Source organism: Homo sapiens, chromosome 1, assembly GCF_000001405.40.
Source record: "Homo sapiens chromosome 1, GRCh38.p14 Primary Assembly".
NCBI classification, from domain to species: Eukaryota; Metazoa; Chordata; class Mammalia; order Primates; family Hominidae; genus Homo; species Homo sapiens.
The window spans coordinates 180,980,226-181,002,708 of record NC_000001.11 but is presented as its reverse complement, the minus strand read 5'-3'; the positions used below and the strand labels follow the sequence as shown (position 1 = coordinate 181,002,708).

At 39.8% G+C, this 22,483-nt stretch overlaps 1 protein-coding gene across 2 annotated transcripts in view, besides 3 other annotated features; it reads left to right on the top strand.

Annotated features, from left to right (window-relative positions):
* STX6 (syntaxin 6) overlaps positions 1-22,483 on the top strand; it is a 50,146-nt gene that overhangs the window by 20,162 nt on the left and 7,501 nt on the right. The window contains exons 3-7 of one of the 2 annotated variants that reach the window (NM_005819.6): positions 9-103; positions 9,284-9,346; positions 12,600-12,725; positions 14,364-14,470; positions 17,938-18,032. In NM_005819.6, the coding sequence (NP_005810.1) occupies positions 9-103; positions 9,284-9,346; positions 12,600-12,725; positions 14,364-14,470; positions 17,938-18,032 (486 nt within the window). The remainder of the gene's footprint in view (positions 1-8; positions 104-9,283; positions 9,347-12,599; positions 12,726-14,363; positions 14,471-17,937; positions 18,033-22,483) is intronic. The other variant, NM_001286210.2, reaches the window with a different exon arrangement.
* Positions 3,310-3,510: a silencer, noted in NCBI's record as "peak491 fragment used in MPRA reporter construct". NCBI's record gives its function as "represses an SCP1 promoter by STARR-seq MPRAs in K562 erythroleukemia cells {active_cell/tissue: K562}" and the evidence as "EXISTENCE:reporter gene assay evidence [ECO:0000049][PMID:32103011]".
* Positions 11,740-11,900: a silencer, noted in NCBI's record as "fragment chr1:180959945-180960105 (GRCh37/hg19 assembly coordinates)". NCBI's record gives its function as "represses an EF-1alpha promoter that drives an FKBP-Casp9 reporter gene in an ReSE screen in phorbol 12-myristate 13-acetate-treated (for megakaryocytic differentiation) K562 erythroleukemia cells {active_cell/tissue: K562(+PMA)}" and the evidence as "EXISTENCE:reporter gene assay evidence [ECO:0000049][PMID:32094911]".
* Positions 20,942-21,021: a silencer, noted in NCBI's record as "silent region_1598". NCBI's record gives its function as "represses an Ori minimal core promoter by ATAC-STARR-seq in GM12878 lymphoblastoid cells {active_cell/tissue: GM12878}" and the evidence as "EXISTENCE:reporter gene assay evidence [ECO:0000049][PMID:35858748]".

The window sequence follows — 22,483 nt, the reverse complement described above, 5'->3', positions numbered from 1 at the left end:
TGACCTACGCATAGTTGAAGCAAATCCTAGAAAATTTAACCTTGATGCAACTGAATTGAGTATAAGAAAAGCCTTCATTACAAGTACTCGGCAAGTTGTCAGGGTAAGGAATATGATCTTATTGTGTTATCTGTATAAGAAATAGCCAGACTTCTTAGAGCTCTTTCCCTTAATTGTAAACTAATAGGTCACCTCTGAAACCACTTTTTAAATATGAATTAAATGTGAGCTTCCCCATATATAATTTCTCTGATTGGCTGCGCATGGTGGCTCATGCCTGTAATCTCAGCACTTTGGGAGGTGGAGGTGGGTGGATCACTTGAGCCCAGGGGTTTGAAACCAGTCCGGGCAACATGATGAAACCCTGTCTCTACAAAAAAAAAATATAAAAATTAGCTGGGCATGGTGGTGCACACCTGTTGTCTCAACTACATGGAAGACCAAGATGGGAGGCTGAGGTGGGAGGATCAGGTTGAGGCTGAGAGCTATGATCACGTCACTGTACCTTAAAAAAAAAAAAAAATTTCCGTGATTGAAGAAAAAGAAATCTGTTTTTAATCTTTCTTTTTTTGACACAAGGTCTCACTGTGTTGACCAGGCTGAAATGTAGTGGCATGATCTTGGCTGACTACAACCTCTGCCTCCCAAATAGCTGGGACTACAGGCGTGCACCACCACACCAGGCTAATTTTTTGTAGAGACAGGGTTCACCATGTTGCTCAGGCTGGTCTTGAACTCCTGAACTCAAGTAGTTTGCCTGCCTCAGCCTCTCAAAGTACTGGGATTACTGGCGTGAGCCACCATGCCCAGCCTGTCAGGCTTATTTCCGAGAGCAAAAATGAGACAGTAATCTGCTGGCTTTGGGCAGGGTACATTCAAATGGTGTCATCCTGAATGATTAGACCCTTGTCCATACCTCTAGTTTCTTCAAGCTAGTTATCTTTCTCACTTTTTATTTCTTAGTGTACTCTATTTCTTGACGAACAAAACAATTGCTATTGTAGAAACCATTTGGTTTTTTGATTGATTGGTAATCACTTCGCATTGTTGAAGAGTGACTCTTAGTGGGTTTGGATAGCGGCCTCTTCCGCCATCTGAATTGCTTCTGGAACTCTTGCAACCCAAGATACTGACATTTCCATATGTAACTACTTGACAGCCGTTCCAGAGTTATCCAGAGCAAACAAGCATCTATCAGAGTGTAAAAAATTGATCCAAGTGAACAAATCTTTAGTTCTAAGTTATTTAGAATAATACCCATTATTAAAGAATCTGAGAAAAAATATTAAGTACAATCTTGTGTCATTAAAATGTTTCATATTTTGAAACTATATGGCTAAGCCATTTGATTAGCATAACTAGATGTAAGAGAACCAGCTGTCTTTAACATATGTACTAGAAAGCAGCTTCCTTGAATAAAAAGACTTGGGATCATACCAGTGCTAACATACGGCTTTTTAAGAGTCATCTTAGGCAGGAACCTTAGTTTGTGTTTGCCAAAGTCTTTATATCATGTGATTTCCTTTTGAAATTATTTCAAATGGTAGATTATCACTGAACTTTATATATTCTTGTTACTTGTTTTATTCATTAGTTGCCTTTCTATATACATATACGTAAATTGTTTATAGATAAACCCACATTTTAATGAGGGAGAAACCTTTCTGGACCTCAGATGCCCCATCCACAGTGAGTGTTTGGATTGGACATTCTTAATTTCTAGCCAGTTCAAAATACTGTTCTGATGAGGAAGCCTTGTTGTTAGGTGACATATTTTTTGTAAGATAAGTAAATCCCCAATTATTTTGTATAAGCTTTTTTTTTTTTTTTTTTGTAGTAGTAGGTTTTTTGAAGGATACTCCTATAGACGTTAATATTTAAGTGGGGCCTTGCAGTGAAGCATATGTCCTTAACCTTAATCATTATATTTATTTCTGCAAGGTAGACTTAGGAAGTTTGCAAATTGAAATTTAGAGGTTCGTATATTAAAAATTAAGTTCATTGGTATAATGGAAAGAAGAATCCAAAGTTCATTTTCTAATATCTGAAAAGCTTTTTAAAGTACATTCTTAGAAAGAGGTTGATATGATTTAGCTGTTTCCCCACCCAAAATCTCATCTTGAATTGTAATCCCCATAATCCCCATGTGTCAAAGGAGAGACCAGGTGGAGGTAATTGAATCATGGGGGCAGTTTCCCACATGCTGTTCTCATGATAGTGAGTGAGTCTCATGATAGCTGATGGTTTTATAAGGGGCTCTTCCCACTTTGCTCTGTCACTCTTCCCTGCTGCCTTGTGAAGAAGTTGCCTTGCTTCTCCTTCTGCCATGATTGTAAGTTTCCTGAGGCTTCCCCAGCCATGCTGAACTGTGAGTCAATTAAACCTCTTTCTCTTATAAATTACCCAGTCTCGGGCAGTTCTTTATAGCAATGTGAGAACAGAGTAATGAGAGGTATTCCAAATCAAGTCAGTACTTCAAAATCTTACTGTCCTTTTAGAGTTGAGATCTAAACCATACTCAACTATGTGATCCACCTGAATATTTTAGGGTTTTAAATCATTCTTGTTTAAATTTATGACCCCTTTGGGGGAAGCTGTTAGTATTTACCAGTGGTAGGCTAACAGTACCTAACTGAGCTTTTGCTGATCTGATTGTAATAAATTCTAGTTGAAAGTCCTATAGAAGAGGAGGAAATAGCAATGGTGCTAACTCGATTAAAAATAAAATATACCTTGTATAATTCCACATTACCACATTTAGCTAAACAGTGTTTGTATGTAGAGATTTCTGGGTTCTGGGTGGAAGAGCTCGATAGAGAGGGAGCAGAGGGTTAGCAGATTTGGAAAATGAGATGAAATGAAGTTCAAATTAGGAATTTGTACAAATTTATGTTAGTTCTTCTGTTACTATTACTAGTGGGCTTTCATTTAATATTGCTCCAAAATTTTGATTGACTTTATCTTTCAAACAGTGTATTCTACTTATGCTTTCTCTTTTGTAGGCAGGGGAGTCAGTGATACTCTATGCATTTTGTGGTTTTTTTTTTCTTTATTTGCTTCAACCTGAAGAAGTAAATCGCCTGTTTCTTCTTGATTAATGTCCATTGGTTATGCCTTTAGTAAGCTTTCCTTGTTTAGAGTTTTGTGTATGTTTTTCCAAGCATCTTTTAAGTCTGTACAAATCCAGTTTTGCTGGCAGTTTTTAGTGAAGAACCAAAATACTCACATTTTTGTGTAAATAGCTTTCATATTTTTGAGGTAATCATTTTTACTCTTGTGGAGTCACCTATACATCAAAGATTCCACATGTGAAATTTTTGTGTTTTAGAAATATATCCTAGAAGTGACTTTGGTTTTACTTTAGGATCAAGAGGTTTTGCAGTATATGGCAGAATAATGGTGAATATAAGGGGTAAGGGAACCTGAGTTCTAGGCTAAGCTGTGACCTTAATAAATCTTAACCATGGTAAGTCATTCAACCTCCCTGGATCTCAGTTTTATCTATGAAATAATCCTCACTAACATTCTCTGACTTTAAAAGTTAGAACTATTACCCTCTCCATGAAAAAACCGAACCTGCTCCAATGTAAGAATTGTTTACAGTCAATTGTAAGTCAAGATGGAAATGGCTTTGGTTAATCAAAAAGGGTGAAGTATCCAGTGTGAGCACAGATGACCTTGAAATGTAAGAATTATGAGTGGGAAGCACTGGGGTTTATGATGTCTCATTCATTCAGCTTGGAAGACAGTGTGAAATGGGAACAGAAGCATAAATAACCAGGACATTTGTTGTTCCTTTGGCAGATGAACCATATTTTATTGGGACTTGTTGCTTGACTGCTGGTTCTAAACGTCATGTGTTAGAAAGAAGATGAGTAATTATGTTTTTGGCATGATAGATTGTTATAAAATGTTTAAAACTATTTAGTAACATAGTTTAAGATCCCGAATTCCAATATGAAGGTGTTGTGTGGTATCTGCTAACTTTTGACCTACATGGATAAAGTGCCATCTTAGAAGTGAAAGCTGGCGGGGTGTGGTGGCTCATGCCTATAATCCCAGCACTTTGGGAGGCTGAGGCGGGCAGATCACTTGAGGGCAGGAGTTTGAGACCACCCTGGCCAACATGGTGAAACTCTGTCTCTACTAAAAATACAAAAATTAGCTGGGTGTGGTGGCAGCTGCCTATAGTCCCAGCTACTTGGGAGACAGAGGTGGGAGAATTGTTTGAACCGGAGACAGAGGTTGCAGTGAACTGAGATTGTGCCACTGCACTCCAGCCTGTGAGACAGAGTGAGACTCCTCAAAAGAAAAAAGAAAAAAAAAAGAAGTGAAAGCCATAGATCCTTAGATCCTTACCCGCGGTGGTGGTGGTCACATACAGGATGCCTACCCACAGGGCTATTGGAGGAATCTGCCTCATCAGGGCTAACACCCATGCAGGCACACACATAACCCCACATGGTTTTTATTAAGCATAAAACTTTAAAAACTGCAACTTTAGAATACACATTTAATTATGATAATGCAAGCTCAAAGAAAATTAGAGAAAATTTTCAAGAAGTAAAAGTAGGAAAAGGAATCTAAACTCAGAATAATACATAGCACAAGACTTTGCATTTTCTTCATAATTTTCCTCCCAATGCAGGGCAGTTGTATTTTTACATAGTTGTGATCATACTGTTATGCAATCATAGCATTTTATTTTCTTAGGTTAAAAATAATCTGTACTTGGTATTTATAAAATGCAAATAATCCTGATGAAAAAACTTTGAAGAGAAAATGCCTCTTCGTTCTCCAATTTCACTCCCTAGAAATAATTAGTGTCAACAATTTTATTTTTCACAGCCATTTTATGGACATTGAAATATGCAAACTTTTAAAAAGCAGTGGCATGATAATCTGTAACTTTTTTTCTATGAAAAATTACATTGTGGACATAGTCTTACAATGACACAGATAAATCTAGAGAAGTGCTGTTCAGTAGTAATAAAATGGGAACCTCTTGGTCATTTTTAGTTTTCTAGTTGCCACATTAAAAGAGTAAAAATAGGTGAGCTTAATATATTTTATTTAACCTGATATATCCAAAACATGATCATTTAAATATGTAGTCAATATAAGAGATATTAATGAGAGATTTAAATTTTTTAAACTGTTTTTGTAATAAATCTGGCATGTATTTTACACTCAAGCATATCTCAATTCAGATGTGAAATTTTCATTGGAAATACTTGATCTGTATTTAGAGTTTACAGAACTTACAATTGAAAAAGTAGAGTCACAAACCCAATTTTTTCTAGACATACTTCAAAGTTTTCTAATAACTGAGTATCAATTAATTAAAGTAAAATTCAGTTCCTCGGTTGCACTGACCACATTTTAAGTGCTCAGTAGCTAGTGGGTCCTGTATTACCCAGGAGCAGACTATCCTTTTTAATAGTTGCATACGTTTATTTGCTGATAATGTTTATTGAGTGCTTACTATATTGTTGGCTACTGTTAATCAGGCTTCATGTGTTACCTCTATTAATCCCTACAATGATTCTAAAAGATATTATTCTAAATGTACAGAAGAAATAGAAACTTAGTGCAGCTATTAAAAAGCATAACTAAGTCTTAAACCTAGGTCTTTGACATGAAAGATCATGCTGTTTCCCTCTCCTTTAATGTGGCTCTGTTATGATTTATTTAATCATTGACCTACCAGTAGATATTTTGGTTATTGTTTATTAGTGGAAATTGCAAACCATGCTTCAGTGACCATCTTTGTGAGCATAACTTACATAATTGTTTCGTAAAAAATTCAATGAGAATACACATTTTAAATATTCATTGCCAGTCATGATGGCTCATGCCTGTAATCCTAGGACTTTGGGAGGCCAAAGCAGGAAGATCAGTTGAATTCAGGAGTTCAAGACCAGCTTGGGCAACATAGTGAGACCTCATCTCTACCAAAAATTTAAAAAATAAATAGGCATGGTGGCACGTGCCTGTAGTCCCAGCTACTTGGGAGGCTGAGGTGGGAGGATTGTTTGAGCCTGAGAGGTTGAGGCTGCAGTGAGCTGTGATGGCACCACCGTACTGATGATGCCTGGGCATCAGAGTGAAATCCTGTCTCAAAAAAAAAAAAATTGTTTTCAAAGTATCCTACAAAAAGACCTTATCAGTCATATTTCTGATAGAGTATCAGAATATACCTTCACTAAGTATTATCAATCTTTTTCATCTTTCTTGGTCTAATTGGAGAAAATGTCTCTTAGCTACACTTCTTTGATTACCAGTGGGTTATTGCATCTATTCATGTTTGATCATTTGTGGGGTTTTTGTGAATTGTCTGTTCACTGAACTCTCTTCATAAGCACAATGCCTAGTACATAATGCCTAGTATATAATACTGCATTGTGTGGATTGTGTTGCTGTTCCCTTATTTGGGCTTGCTGCTTATTTCTACTTTTTTTCTTATTATAAATAATACTGCAGTACACATCTCTGCATGTCTTTTTTTGTATCTATTTTATGTTATCTCCTTAAAATAAATTCCTGTTAGTGGAATTACTGGGTCAAGGCAGTGAATATTTTGAGACTCATGGTACAGAATGACAAATTTATTTTCAAAGTGCTGTTCTAGTTTACCATCCAGCCATTGTTTGGGACCAGTAGTATTAAAAATACATATATTTACTAAAATATAACGGTACAGAAAAGTGTAATTAACCTAAACATATAGCTTAATAAATTTATAAACTGAACACAGCCATGTCAACAGCACCCAGAAGCATTGCAGGGTGTTACCAGCACCCCCAGAAGGTGCCTGTGCTCCTTTTTAGCCAATGTCTCTACCCCCCACTGCACTGACTTCTAACAGCAAAAGTATGTTGTACATGTAATGTTCAAAGGCTAACATGTCACTTTCCCATACTTGCATGTTGATATTTTTATTATGCAAGTAATGTGTTGTTTTAAAAAAACACTATTATAAAATGCACTGACTATATTTTTATTTTATTAATTTTGTAGAGATGGGGTTTTGCTATGTTGCCCAGGCTGGTCTGCAACTCCTGGCCTCAAGCGTTCCGACTGCCTTGGCTTCCCAAAGTGCTGGGACTATAGGCGCAAGCCATAGTGCCCAGCTGAGTATATTTTTAAAGGCATGTATTATCCCCCTAGTGAATGTTGCTCTGCGTAGTTTTTAATAATATTAAATAAATCGGGCTGTTGGATTGACTGTCAGAATGTCATCTTAAACTCTGATTGATAATCAGAAAACGAATCCTGCAGTCCAGGAGATACTAGCATAGTGATCAGTTTCTCTTGAAGGCTTCTAGATTTCCATTGTAAGACAAGGAATGGGGATGGGGAGGGGGCTTGTTAAAAATGTGCCGTCAAGAGTCTGACTTCGTAGGTCTCATAGGGGCCTAGGGAACTACATTTAAAAAATATTTTTAGGCCAGGCATGGTGGCTCATGCCTGTAATCCCAGCACTTTGGGCGGCCGAGGTGGGCAGATCACAAGATCAAGAGATCGAGACCATCCTGGCCAACATACTGAAACCCTGTCTCTACTAAAAATAGGAAAATGAGCTGGGTGTGGTGGTGCGTGCCTGTAGTCCCAGCTATTCAGGAGGCTGAGGCAGGAGAATCACTTGAACCCAGGAGGCGGAGGTTGCAGTGAGCCGAGATTACGTCACTGCATTCCAGCCTGGTGACAGAGTGAGACTGTCTCAAAAAAAAAAAAAAATTTTTTTTTAAATTTCTTGATACATATGGTTGTGCATATTTTTAGGGTACATGTGATATTTTGATACATGTATATAATGCGTAATGATCAAATGAAGGTAATTGGAATATCCATCATTTTAAACATTTATGCTGCAAACATTTGAATTATTCTCTTCTTGCTATTTTGAAATATACGATAGATTATTGTTGAACTATAGTCACCCTACTGATCTATTGAGCACTAGGTCTTATTTCTTCTAACTGTATTTTTTACCCATTAATCAACCTCTCTTCATCCTCCTTTCCCCCTGCACTCTTCTGGCCTCAGGTAACCACCTATCTATTCTTTGTCTTCATGAAATCCACCGTGAGTGAAATCTCATCCACTTATGAGTGAGAACATGCAGTATTTGTCTTTCTGTGCCTGGCTTATTTCACTGAGCATAGTGACATCCAGGGGAACTGCATCTTTAACAACACTCACGTGACTGACTCAGGCATGTCATCATGATGTGAACTCCATGTGGGCAGGGGCCTAGCTAGTATCATTCACTGCTGTATGCCTGGCCACATAGTAGACATCAGTGAGTGTTTGCTAAATGGATAGATGAGTGGTTTGAAAGTTGAATCAGGTGGTTCTCACTCACATTTACCACAGTTCTGGGATTGTAAAAGCGGTGGCACTGTCTCATCTGTTTACTTGTCATGGGTCTTTAAAGAAGTTTCTAAAAGTCTTACACTTTGATGTTTGCATAAATTATATTTTGACGACCTTTTAAAAACTGTTGTTGCAGTCATGTATTCAGTTCAAATCATTCTATAGTAGATTGGATTGTAGCTAAATAAGCAGAATGACTCATATTTAATAAAGTGTTTTGCTTCAGATAAAGTAATGGATCTATTCACTTTTCATTCCATACAAAATTATTTTTGACACCACTCTGGAAATTCACTCTGATGTTAGGAATAGTCTATACCTTTCATGAATCCAACTCAGAAATAAAATAAGTGACCTGTTGTACCACTATTTGGAAGTATTCTTTGGTGTTTAATGGTAAATATACTTTATACTAAAAGCACATGGTTTTTTACATATATTGTAAAAAAGATGCAAGCCCTTGAACACGTGCTTTTGTGTTTGTACCCCAGGGATGTTCTTTATTAGTGATGTGACTTTGAGAAAGTATCATCGTCTTTTTGGACCTAGGTCTCCTCAACCTTAAAATGGAAATAGTACCAGCTTCACAGGGTCCTTGTGAAAATTCAGTGATAATGTGTGTATGTGTTTAGCACTGTTTCTGACCTGTGGTAGGTACCTGGTAAATGTTAATTCCTTTCTCTTTCCTCCTATTCAAATTAGTATCCAGGTTACTTCTTTTTAAGGGACCATCTTTCTTTTTATTTTATTTTCTTTATTTTTGAGACTGAAAATAAAGCCAAGAAATGCGGTCTTCTTTTTAAAAAGTAATAATAAATTGTGTGTTTTGCTAATGTATGAAATGTTAACTGTGATTTTGTTTAAGGATATTTTTCATTTGTTTTCGTATCTTCTTTCTCATTAGGACATGAAAGATCAGATGTCAACTTCATCTGTGCAGGCATTAGCTGAAAGAAAAAATAGACAGGTGAGAAAACATCAGAATATAATTATCAATGACAGAAAGCATACAGTTAGATATTTGGAATTTAAAAATGCTGACCATCCATGGATCATGTAATCAAGAGGAAGACTTCTGCTTGCAGGCCCTGGTGTGACCATGGGAGGTTTTGTGACAGTCCAGGCAGCCTGTCCCAGCACCCTGTCAACATTTCCCTCCCCTCCTCTTACCCTCTGGTCTTCTTCTCTGGGCTCCATAGCACCTTTTGCCTACCCTTACTATAGCACTTATCACAGAGTACTTTTACTTTTTTAATGTGTTTATTCTGTACCTATTGAACACATTTTGTGTGCCAGGCTCTTTGAAGGGCTATAATTACTGTCTTTCTCTCTGCTGGGCTCCAGGCCCTTTGACAGTGAGGAGAGATGTGTGTCATGGTTTTTTGTTTCTTGTTTGTTTGTTTGTTTTGAGCTCTCTAGCAGTTACTACATTGCCTACCCATGGAACACATTAGACATCTAAGGATTGACATTTGATGTAAAGACATTAGAGGAACCTTAAACTTGTGTGTTAAATTAAGTTTCTCTTTGTTTTAAGTAGTTTTAAAAGAATTACATACTTTGGCATATTGATAGAAGCTCCTTTCTAATTGTTAAAATACAGTCCTTTTAAAAAATGTAGAATGATCATCTAGAATTTGGACTTTCATTTAGATTGAGATTTGATTTAGACTTTTTTTGGTGGGATAGAATGTTTTTGCCTGTTGCTAAACTGTTAGGTAATTTTTTTGACAGAAGTAGTTTTTTAAATTCTGTGGATATCCATTTTCCTTAGAAGTAAAAAAGACTTCATGAAAAATGATACTATTTGCTTTAAATGACTTACCTTAGTCTCATTTTATTAAGATTCCAGAAAGTTATGAATTGTCCATTTAGTAGGCTCTTGAGAAATTTCACTATTTATACTAACTAGCAATCAGTACTTCATACCTGTGGGTATTTGTCAAGACACTTAATTTTGAAAACAAATATTATGGAAGCTTGAAGAAGGGGCAGGGTTCTATAAATATCACCTAACTTAATTTTCCTGTTTCCTTTTCTTGCATTCCATTTTTCAAGTCATTGTTTTGTTTTTGGCTTTTTAATCTTATTTGCCTCCTTTGCTTTCTTTTTGAGCAATATAGCTAGGAAAAGCCACTAGCTGGTCCATTCCATCTGGCTCCCTCTCTTGAAAGAAGCTAGTGAATGCCCTCAAGTTGGCTAGTTTTGGAGTTCTCTTCTCATTTGCACTTGAGCTTATAGGAAGTGGAAGTAACTGAAGTAGTTGTGACAGTGAGGTCAGTAACACCTATGCTGTTACTCTTAATTTGAATGTTTTATTCTCTAGATAGTATAGTTGGGCTAACGTAAATAAAATTTATATTTATATATTTATAAATATATATATATAAATTTAAATATATTTTATATAAAGTATATATACATGTATGTATTTATATATTGCCTATCTAGTTATGGCTTGGAATTTTGTTTTAGGCTATGAGTGAAATGTCAAGTTGCAAATTTTCAAGGAATAGCAGGATCAGGGCTCTCTAAGCACTCCAGCAGGCATGGGCCTTGCCACGTTGTGCCAGGTGCCAGGCTCTGTGCTGCTCCTTGCCTCACCAGCACCCCTGCTCTGGCACCCACACACAGGTGCATCTTCCAGTCCTTGGGCCCTCTCTCAATCTCTATCCTATTATCACAAACATTTGGGATCAGACTGATGAACTTTAAGCTATTTCACAATAAAACGTGGATGATTTGCCCTATACTTAGCTCTACCTAAGTGTACACCATGGAAAACGTAGGAAAAATAGCCCTGTGACCTCAGGAGCACACAAGGCCCTGGTGGTGTCCCAGTTCTCTGTCCTTAGGCCAGTGATGCATTATAGCATTTTTCTGACCCTAAAAAAATTGTCACTATTTCCTCATGTCTTCCATAGAGGTCCTTAGAGTGTGGATCATAATGAGCAGGATCTTTTCAGTCTTGATAGCCCTAAGACCAGGTCAGGGCAGAGCCACCCACAAAAAGCCTTGGATCTGCTTTACACCAGAGACAGTCACCATCCAGCTGGACTGAAGCTCTGGGCCCCTGGAAGCTCTTGTAAGAAAAGCTTCTAATAACTGAGCTTCCCTGATCCTAGCCCCTGAAGTCTGGCCATTTGATGGAGTTCACCCCTCGCAGTCTGAGAAGAGGTCAGTGTCAGTATGGAGGAAGGTCATGGGGCTGTTGGAAGGGTTTTCAGACAGAACCAAGTAACCAGGCAGGCTTTTAATAGTGCCTGAGATTTTTTTTAAATTACCCGATAGGAAAATTTGGCAACTCTACAAGGAAAAAGAGTCTTAGTTGCTAGCGTCTTCTGGCTCTTGCCTGCGGGGCTGGTGTGAGCAGTTACTTTGACCAGTCAGGAAGGCTTGTGGGGATCTGGTCAGAACCAACTGCTGAGATGGAACTCTCACATTCCTGCCTGTCTTCTTCATGTGAGGAAGACATACCCATTTATGGCTGCAAACTTCCTTGAATTCATACTTGGGAAACCCGACCCTTGTGTCTGGGAGCCCTGGTGGAGAACTCTGACTTTAGGGCAGCCCTTGCCTCGGTTGCCAGGGTCAGGCATTCCTTGTGGTCATACCTGCCTGTAAAGTAACCCCCAGTTGTCATCTGGAAAGCCTGAAGGACCCTGGATTCTATTCATGGGTTAAACTTAACAGACATTGATGGTTCTTGTGCCTTTGTGTGTGAAGGGCTATGGCTTACCTTCTTGTCATTCCAGGGAACTCTCCCTTTCCCCCCACCAAAAAAACCCACAACTTCCCCTGGGTCACACTTTTTTTAAAAAAGTACTCTAGATCTTCGGAATCAGGTTGACTGGAACCTATGGGTTGCTGAAGTTCCACAGGTACCAGGAAGAGCTCTTTTACAAGAGATTGAATGCTTTTCAATTATAACACAGTATATAGATGGGTGTTTGTTGATTTAGCAGACGTTTATTTGCACTTTAAGGGGACAAAGCCCATTGTGAGGCCTATTGGGAGAGCTTAAAGACATAGAGGGCCCTTCCTGGAATTCCTTAAATAGTACCACCCAGGCACCAACCTACACCACTACATAAAAGCCTTGCCCAGGGGAAAATAGACAAGAAATGTGAAAACTCTTTATATCACTCTTGATGCATCACTTGTTCAGAGATAGTAATTGTTTGTTTCTCCTGACTCCTCTGGTTGTTCTTCTCACACAGGCACTGCTGGGAGACAGTGGCAGCCAGAACTGGAGCACTGGAACAACAGATAAATATGGGCGTCTGGACCGAGAGCTCCAGAGAGCCAATTCTCATTTCATTGAGGAGCAGCAGGCACAGCAGCAGGTACCCCAAGGACCCCAGACTTAGGACGGGCCAGTGGGAAACAAGACACCCCCTTAGTTCCTTTGCCAGCCATGGGGTCTTGTGGCTTAGTGACAAGGAGGGTAAGCCAGAGCTTGTCCTGTGTTGATTGTGTTTAATAATTGCATATGTAAAGGGTTTCAAAATCTTCACAGTGTGACTGCTTCAAGAGAACCAAGCTCAGCCAGGCGTGGTGGCTCACACCTTTAGTCCTAGCTACTGAGGAGGCTGAGGCTGGAGGATCCTTGAGCCCAGGAGTTCAAGGCTACAGTGAGCTTCGATCATGCCATTGCATTCTAGCCTGGGTGACAGAGCAAGACCCTTTCTCTAAAAAAATAAAGAACCAAGCTCAGTTAGTTCTCTTAGAAAAAACAGACCTTTGTCCATCTCAGCAAAGACACTTTCAGAAAGATCTCTCATTTTTTTCTTCGAAAATTATTGATTGGTTTCTTTTTTTTTTTTTTTTTTGTGAGACGGAGTCTCACTCTGTCACCCAGGCTGGAGTGCAGTGGCACCATCTCGGCTCACGGCAACCTCCGCCTCCCGAGTTCAAGCAGTTCTCCTGCCTCAGCCTCCTGAGTAGCTGGGACTACAGGTGCACGCCACCACGCCCAGCTAATTTTTTTTTTGTATTTTAGTAGAGACGGGGTTTCACCTTGTTTCTCAGGCTGGTCTCGAACTCTTGAGCTCAGGCAATCCACCTGACTCAGCCTCCCAAAGTACTAGGATTACAGGCATGAGCCACCGCGCCCGGCCTATTGGTTGGTTTTGTTATATGTAAAGATGACTGCTTTTGTGTAGGTTAAGGGGTAGAAGGAAAATGAAATTGATTATGTCTGTTGATGCCTTTGATATGTAGCTGTATTAATAAAAGCAAGCTAATGATAATGTGTCTGGGGATTTGAGGAGCATGTACCCATTGAAACTATTGATTCTTAAATATTGTGTTTTATGTATACATGTAGTTTATATGTTCTTTTGTTCTTTACATTAGTATGTCTGCTTAACCAGTTGTCTACTTAAATTGCTATTAAACCCAGGAAATTTTTTTTCTATAGAAAGTGAGAAGAATGCAACACAACTAAAAGTAAATATTTGTCAGTCAGTAGTTGTCCTTGAGGTAACTTATTGCCACAGGGAATCCTTTCGTTTGTCCTTGAAGAGAGAGGAAAGACTGCATAGTTTCCCCACATCCAGAGATTTGCCAGACTCTCTTGTATTTAAGCTGTGGCAGTCTGTTGTGGATTGAGACCTTGATCTTGGCAATGGGCTTCCTCCTCCCAAACATCCCCATGTCTCAATGGTCATCTGCACGTGTGCTTTCAACCATTGTCTGCTCCATTATTGGACGTCAGCCAACCAGAGTAAATCTCTCTTGGTGGTTTCAAGCCCCGCTGACTGTTCACAAGTTGGATCAGCAGGAGATATCAGTAGCTTAACAATCCAGCCTTTTGAGCAGTGTGTTCTCAGAGGCAACGGTCTGGTCCTTTGATTTCTGGGCTTTGCTTCTGAATGTGAATTGTCCCAAGTTGGCAAAGAAACTAGCAGCTGCTAGAGTGCTGGGCTTGGAACCAGGTAAGATGGATTTTAATTGCTTATTTCCCATTTCTCTGGCACCAGTTGATCGTGGAACAGCAGGATGAGCAGTTGGAGCTGGTCTCTGGCAGCATCGGGGTGCTGAAGAACATGTCCCAGCGCATCGGAGGGGAGCTGGAGGAACAGGCAGTGTGAGTATTGAGACACCCCTCTCGCTTCAGTGAAATTGAGGGGCAGAGCCATCCTATGACACCCCTAAAAAGCCTGGCAGCTACGTGGCTGGTAAAATCAAAAGCTATTTTATTCATAGCTGCATTTTTATTCTGTTTTACAGATTAGCCTCCCCAAAAGAAGCAATTCTACTTCGTAAATTTTACTACAGGCTTTAGGTGAAGTTGTTATTATTTTTAAACACCTCCAAAAACAGACACAGATGTCTCTGAGCAGATACTCGAAGTATAGTTATGAATGGGAATATGAAACAGAGAAGCCTCTGTAACCTGTGGGAATTTTTGTTCCAGAGAGGATAGGACATGAGCTGACTTTATCATCCCATGACTCTCCTGCTATATTGAACAGACACGTTTTGCTTTGAATCTTAAATTATTGTAACTTTGTTTTTTTTTTTTAAAAAAAACTTACAAATTTAACGCCAGTTAATAAAAACTCTTTCCTCTCAGAAAAATAAATAAAAACAAAACATAACCTCAGTTTGTTTTTCCTTATGAACAATCCCTTTTGCACCCAGAAGTTCGATGGCAAAAACTGCATTCTTAAATGCTGCCACATCATTTTGTAAATCTTTTGAAAGAGAAAAATGAAAAAACAGTCCACCAGGATATTTCAGAAACTTTCCTGTCTCGATATTACGTTTATCATGACACATTGATTGATTATGAATTCTTAGTGGGCCCGTGTTCTACACCGGGCCTTCTGGAAGCCAAGGGATATAGAAGGGAACAGAGCAGACAAGACAACCCATCTCTGCCAAAGAGTTTGCCGCTTGCAGGGTAGAACGGATATTGGGTAAGTGGCGAGGGGTCATTAGGTGATGGCAGTGAAGTGGGAGGGCCCCTGTGATGGGGCCAGTGCATGCTGCCTGGAGAGCCCTGACTTAGCCCAAGGTCCCTGAGGAAGAGGGGTTTAACTGAAATCTGAAGGATGTGTGGATGCTAGCCAGGTGAGGTGAGAGTTGGTGTGGAGGCAGGTGGTGTGGGGTGTGTAGACCAGGAGGAAGAAAATGCACCTGTGAAGATGGAGAGGTGCACACGTGCATGGAGCAGAGAGGTTCCATGTGTCTGGAGGCAGAGAACAAACCAGGGAAGGCCTTGTCAGCATGGTAAGGAGGTACGACTACTTATTCTCAGCATAATGAGAGACCAGTGGAGGTGAGGTGAGGAGTGATGGTGTGATCAGGTGTGATTTAGATGATGTGCTGCAGTGGAGTCAGGTAGGGAGACCAGGTAGGAAGCTGGAGTAGCCAGAATCTGTTTCATGTCTATCTAAAATGGGTCCTGACCCTAAAGTTCAGTTTGAGGAGGGGAAAGGACTAATGGCCTGAGCTTCTCTGTTGATGAGGCAGCCTGGCTGGGCAGTGGGTAATAGAGTCAGAGGGACTTCCAGTTAAAGATGGTGCATTGACACACCCCTACCTCCACTCCCTCTCCACAGCTCACTAGAACAATAGTAAAGGGGTTTGTTTTTAAGGGCATGAAACCGCTGGGCATGGTGGTTCACACCTGTAGTCCCAAGTACTAGGGAAGGAGGCTGAGGTGGGAGGATTGTTTGAGCCCAGGTGTTTGAGGCTGCAGTGAGCTATGATGGCACCACTGTACTCCAACCTGGGTGACAGAGGAGACCCTGTCTCTAAAAAAATAGAAATAACAGATAAATGGGAAAAAGCATGGGATTTGGACTTAGACCTGTGCCATCCAGTATAATAGCTACTAGCCACATGTGGCTGTTGAGTAAGTGTTATGTGGCCAGTCTGAATTGAGATGTGCTCCAGAGGTAAAATGCTTACTGGATTTTGAAGACTTCATATAGAAAAATATAAAATAGCTTATTAATAATTTTTATATTACATGTTGAAATTACAGTATTTTGGCTATATTAAACTAAATACAACAGAATTAATTTCACCTGTTTCTTTTGAAATTTTTACAAACATGGCTACTAGAAAATGTAAAATGGCATATGTGACTCATATTTTTGTTGGATGGTACTGAGATAGATTTGGGCTAGCAACTTGGTTGGTGAGTGTCCATGGACTGAAGGTCGGATGATGTGCCTGATGATGTGCCTGTTTTGTCTTCAGTATGAAAAGTCATACCTAGCGCAGAAAGGTAGCTCTTGCTTTTTAGAGTTTGGCCCTGCCTGGATAGGCCTGCCAGCTGCAGCGCCAAGATGCTGCCAGGATCTAAAATGAGTTAAATATTTTTTAATTTGAAAATTTAGGTAAGGGACAAAGACTTATTTTAGTTGTCAACATATATGTAACAGTTGATTTAATGAAGAGTTGGTTGCCCTGAATCCTGCAAGGCTGTCAGGTGTCTATTGTGGGCACAGATCAAGACCAGGAGTTTCTAACTGCCATTGATGCTGTCAGAGTTAATACAGCCTTTTTAGTAAGACTGTTAGTACTAATTGGCATATTACATTCTAGCCTCAGAATAATCATTTACTAATCAAAAGTTGAAAAGTCTGGAATATTTAGTGACTTATGAAATAGGCACTGCTGAAATAGTATTTTGGGGTTTTCTTTCCCAGCTGCACATTGGACAGCAAATAGTGTAAGCCTGCTGGAGTCAGTTTTCCTAGTGGGAAATACTGGTTTCTCTGTGAGGACAGATGGGGAAATGCGCGTGTGCATGCACAGACACACTGTCACACACCCCATCAGGGATGTTAGTCCTGAGGCCTTCTGGGTTTATAATAAAGCACGTAGTGCCTTATAGGAGGTTATTTTATTAAAGTACATTCCTTAACTCATATTGACATAAAGTGCTTTTGTTTATTACCTGGTTCTCACAAGAGCCCTGTGAGGGAAGTTGAGCTGATAGGATTGCCCTATTTTACAGGTGAGGAAACAGTCCCAAAGAGTTATAGAGTATGTTGTCGAAGGTAGCAATGTAAACAAGTGGCAAAGCCTGGTTGTCTGCCTCAGATAGCATTGTTTCTACCACATTGCACTGCCACTGAGTTTGTGTTATTGTATAGACAGGTCTATAGTCTTGCAGTTCTGAAATCTAGGAAGCTCTAAAGAAATCTCGTTGTTTTTTTTTTCTTTAAATTTGCCGCAAGCTCATGTTACAGAAAAACCTTACCTGAACTGACTCCAACTGTGATTCCTCATAGTTTTCTCTGCAGAAATATTAAGTATCTGATTACGGGGACTGCCCCAGACCCTCCTGGTGGTGTCCTCCTAGTGGTGTCGACTAATACAAAGGATATGTAATTTAGGCTTTTTTTAATCCTGAGAATTCCAAAATCAAAATCCTATCTTGTCCCAAGGATTTTGGATAACAGAGTGAGGTCCTGAAACCCAGTGTTGCCTATTTTGTTTGCTAAAATGGAGGCCTGGTCCTTTTAACCCAGTGCAAGTGCACTGCCAAGGCTTTGTGCTTACCAGCGACCTTCTGTGTCTGCTTCTCTCTAGTATGTTGGAAGATTTCTCTCACGAATTGGAGAGCACTCAGTCCCGGCTGGACAATGTGATGAAGAAACTTGCAAAAGTATCTCATATGACCAGTGGTATGTATGGCGTTTAAAGCTTAAGCATTTGTACTTAATTCTAGAACTCTGTCTTGGGGGTGTTGTCTCATAGTTATGCCCATCCAGATCCCTTTCTTATTTTTTACAGATCCCTTTCTCTTTTTTTTGAGACAGAGTCTCACTCTTTCACCCAGGCTGGAGTGCAGTGGTGCCATCTCAGCTAACTGCAACCTCCACTGCCTCCTGGGTTCAAGCGATTCTCATGCCTTGACCTCCTGAGTAGCTGGGATTACAGGTGCGTGCCACCACACCCAGCTAATTTTTGTATTTTTAGTAGAGACATGGTTTCACCATGTTGGCTAGGCTAGTCTCGAACTCCTGACCTCAGGTGATCCGCCCGTGTCAGCTTCCCAAAATGCTGAGATTATAGGCGTGAGCCACCGTGCCTAGCTGATCCCTTTCTTATGGCACATTTTTTTTTTTTGTGATGCCTTAGAATCAGAGAATGGAAGACTTGTATGTGCAGTCTTTATCTTCTCCTTGTAGCTTTAACTTGGGAAAAGTTAAGGCTTTGTGATCCCCCACCGTGTTTGGTTTTTTTCCCAGTAGAGTCACTTTCGTTGTGTTTTTTTTTTTTTTTTTTTTTTTTTTTGAGATGGAGCCTCACTCTGTTGCCCAGGCTGGAGTGCAGTGGCGTAATCTCGGCTCACTGCAAGCTCTACCTCCCAGGTTCACGCCATTCTCCTGCCTCAGCCTCCCAAGTAGCTGGGACTACAGGCGCCCGCCACCATGCCCAGCTAATTTTTTGTATTTTTAGTAGAGATGGAGTTTCACCGTGTTAGCCAGGATGGTCTCGATCTCCTGACCTCGTGATCTGCCCGCCTCGGCCTCCCAAAGTGCTGGGATTACAGGCGTGAGCCACCGCGCCCAGCCCAGTAGAATAACTTTCTTTGCAGTTACAAAATCCTTCTTTATTTTACTGGTTTTTTAAGATTTCCTTGCCAAAATAGGGAACTTATGTAAAACAACAGTTAAGCCAGTTACTGTTTCTCCTGAACATTCTTTCATTGATAGAAAAATACCTACTACTTCAGAATAAGATGGCATGTGTGGATCTATTTTAAATTGTTATGTTTAAATCAATACTGAAATATTTCAGCAAATTTGCACCAGGATGAGGATGAATAAACAATTTTCATAATAGTTACTGTATAAGATATGTTCCAGTGACTCTTTACATGGGAAATAATATATTTTAAATTTTAAAAAATCCAGTATCTCTTCTTTATCTGGTGGGGGTTGCTTGGTGGAAGGAGAAACTGAGATGCTCCTTGAGGTAATCTGAATGTTCCCTGACTGTAGAGCACCTCCCTTGTGTTAGAACATGCCCTGTTTCTTGACACCTTTTCTTCTGTTGGTTTCCTACTGTCAGGTACATGTTATAAGGTCTAATAGGTTAGCTTTTTGAAGCAATATTTAAATACATATGCAGGTTTACTTTTCAGAAGTTTAACTCATAGGTTACATAACAGTTCTCTGGGGCTCAGTTTCTTATCTGTAAAAATATGTTGAGTCCTACCTCTCCAGGTAATTGTGAGGATTAAATGAAATACCAGTAAAGTAGAAGTGCTTAACTGCGTTTACCATTTATTTATTGGTACTTAGTAAATGTTTTTAAGAAATTGTAAGGCAACAAAAATTGTAATGGCCCCAAGGCGCAATGGACCTATTACATCCAAAACAAAGAGAAGCTCCTATCTAGAGTCATTTTCTTCTTTCTCTTTAGGGACAAGTATCTTTGTTTCTAGCGGGCTCTTCATTGCCTGAAACTGTGCATATATGGGAAGCAGGCACCAGCTTAGTTCATCTGTCACACATTTAGAGAAAGGTTTGCAAAGTCTTTTCTGATTCCCTCTGTTCTCTCTTCTGCCTTCTCCCCTCTACTTAAAAACAAAACAATAAACAAAAAAAAGGTGTTTTAATGAAGAATTGTATAACCAGTTTAAACTCCAGGCCTCTCACTCATGTATGTAGTAGTTGCAAAGTCAAGTAGCTACTTCAGCACCAGTTCTGTTTGGGGAAGAGCAAGTGAACAAAGATGCACTGTCTTTGTTTCCCAGCATTCTGGGTATGAATAATTTAGAAAAGTACTTGCATTGTGAGAAGCGACCCAGTGTGTATAAATAGCACTGAAGTTTGCTTATGCTTTATTCTACTTTTTCCCAAAAGAAAAATTGGGGAAGCAATGTAATAACTTTGGTTATATTTGTATAGGAAAAAGAGCCAGGAAACAGAGCATTTATCCTGAACGGTGCTTCACTTTTGACAGGTTGCTTGTGTTTTCATTTTAATCTTTGCTTGCTACCCAAAGAAATACTCCCTAAGGACCTCTTCCTGCTTGGTGCTTTCTGCTTCAATTTGACAAACAAGCAATTTGTATTCGTCTCTGCTCTCCTCCATAATTTTTGCAGAAGTTCACTGCTTTAGTAATCAAACCTGTACATAAAGGAAGCCTATGGAGGCACAGCGAAGTGTGATTAAGTAGTTACAGGCACACAGGCGGACCATCTCCGCTCCCCGTGGCTGTCTGCTTCATGGGGAGAAACCAACCAAGACTCCACATTTACTTTTTTGAATGACCCAAGAGAGACACTAATTGTATTCTCCTACCCACAGAAGTATTTTATTTTAAGTAGATACTGAGATTTTTTTCCCTCTTACTTTCCAACATTCCATTAATCTTTTCTCTTTAGGGGAGAAAAATATTTTGAGAGAGAGAAAAAACTACCATTGGAGTTCTTTTGTTCCGCTCTGACTTTTTGAGGCAGGTCCTGAGCTTGCAATGCTGCTTAAAACTTTCCACTTGAGGTCACAAGAGCCCCTGTGGTTAGTACCCGTTCCTTCTATGCATGAAGCCTCTGCGGGAAGTGCTGAGAAGTCTGCTGGGGTAACAGCTCCCTGGGGTTACCTAGTTCATGCTTCGTAGAGGCAGCTTAGCCACTTCAGAGGAAAACGGCTTTAAAAGAACATCCTCGGGTTGTGCTGGCTTGTGTGGTATATGCTTCTCCTTGGTGAAAATTCCTACTTAATACAGTTGTGGAAGAGAAGGTGATTGGAGGGTGGTAGGAGGCATGAGTAGAGGCTGATGGAAAGCCAAAAAATGGAAATCTGGTTCAGTGTTGGAAATCTGGTGCTGAGAATAGCGAGATGCCTGAGGGAAGGGGGTAAACATAGGAGTGTGTGAGGTTGAGGGCGGGGTTGGAGAAGGAATACTTTCTCCGTTTTTGTCCTGAAAGAATCGCAACTAATCATTTTAGCAAAGTGGTTTTAAATTATTGTAAGCATTTTAATCTTTTTAAAAAATTAATAAACTATTTTTAGAACAGTTTTAGGTTCCTAGCAAAATTGAGCAGGAAGTACAGAGAGTTCCCATATAGCCCCCTTCCCCCATGCATAACTTCCCTGACTATTGACATCAAGCATCACGGTGGTACGTTTGTTACAATCAGCCTACGCTAACACATCATTAATCATCCGCAAAGACCGTTGTTTACCTTAGGATTCACTCTTGGTATTGTACATTCTCTGGGTTTGAACAAATGTATAAATGACATGTATCCATCATTGTAGCATCACACAGAGCTGTTTCACTGCCCTAAAAAATCCTGTGTTCCACCTGTTTATCCCTCCCTTCCCCCAACCCCCAAACTACTGATCCTTTGACTGTCTCCATAGTTTTGCTTTTCCAGCTTGCATATGGTTGGAATCATATATCACAGATCCTTTTCAGATTGGCTTCTCTCACTTAGCAGTGTGCATCTAAGTTTCCACTGTGCTTTTTCATGGCTTGATAGCTTATTTCTGTTTTAACACTGAATAATATTCTATTGTCTGGATGTACCACAATTTATCCATTTACCTACTGAAGGACGCCTTGGTTGCTTCCAAGTTTTGGCAATGATGAATAAAGCTGTTATAAACACCCATGTGCAAATTAGCCAGGCGTGGTGGCGTGCGCCTATAACCCCAGCTACTTGGGAGGCTGAGGCAGGAGAATCGCTTGAACCCAGGAGGCAGAGGTTGCAGTGAGCCGAGATCACACCACTGCACTCTAGCCTGGGTGACAGAGGGAGACTCTGTCTCAAAAAAAAAAAAAAAAAAAAAAAAAAAGTGCAGGTTTTTATATGGACATAAGTTTTTAAGTTCATTTGGATAAGTAACAAGGTATGTGGTTGCTGAATGGTTATGGTAAGAGTATGTTTGGGTTTTGTAAGAAACTGCCAACCTGTCTACCAAAGTGGCTGTACCAGTTTGAATTCCCACTAGGAGTTAATATTGCTCCACATCCTTGCTAGCATATGGTGTTGTCACTGTTTGGGGTTTTGACCATTCTAATAGGTGTGTATTGTTTCTTGTTTTAATTTGCCTTTCCCCAGTGACATCTAATGTTGAACATCTTTTCGTATGCTTCCCTGGCAGCTCTTTCATGG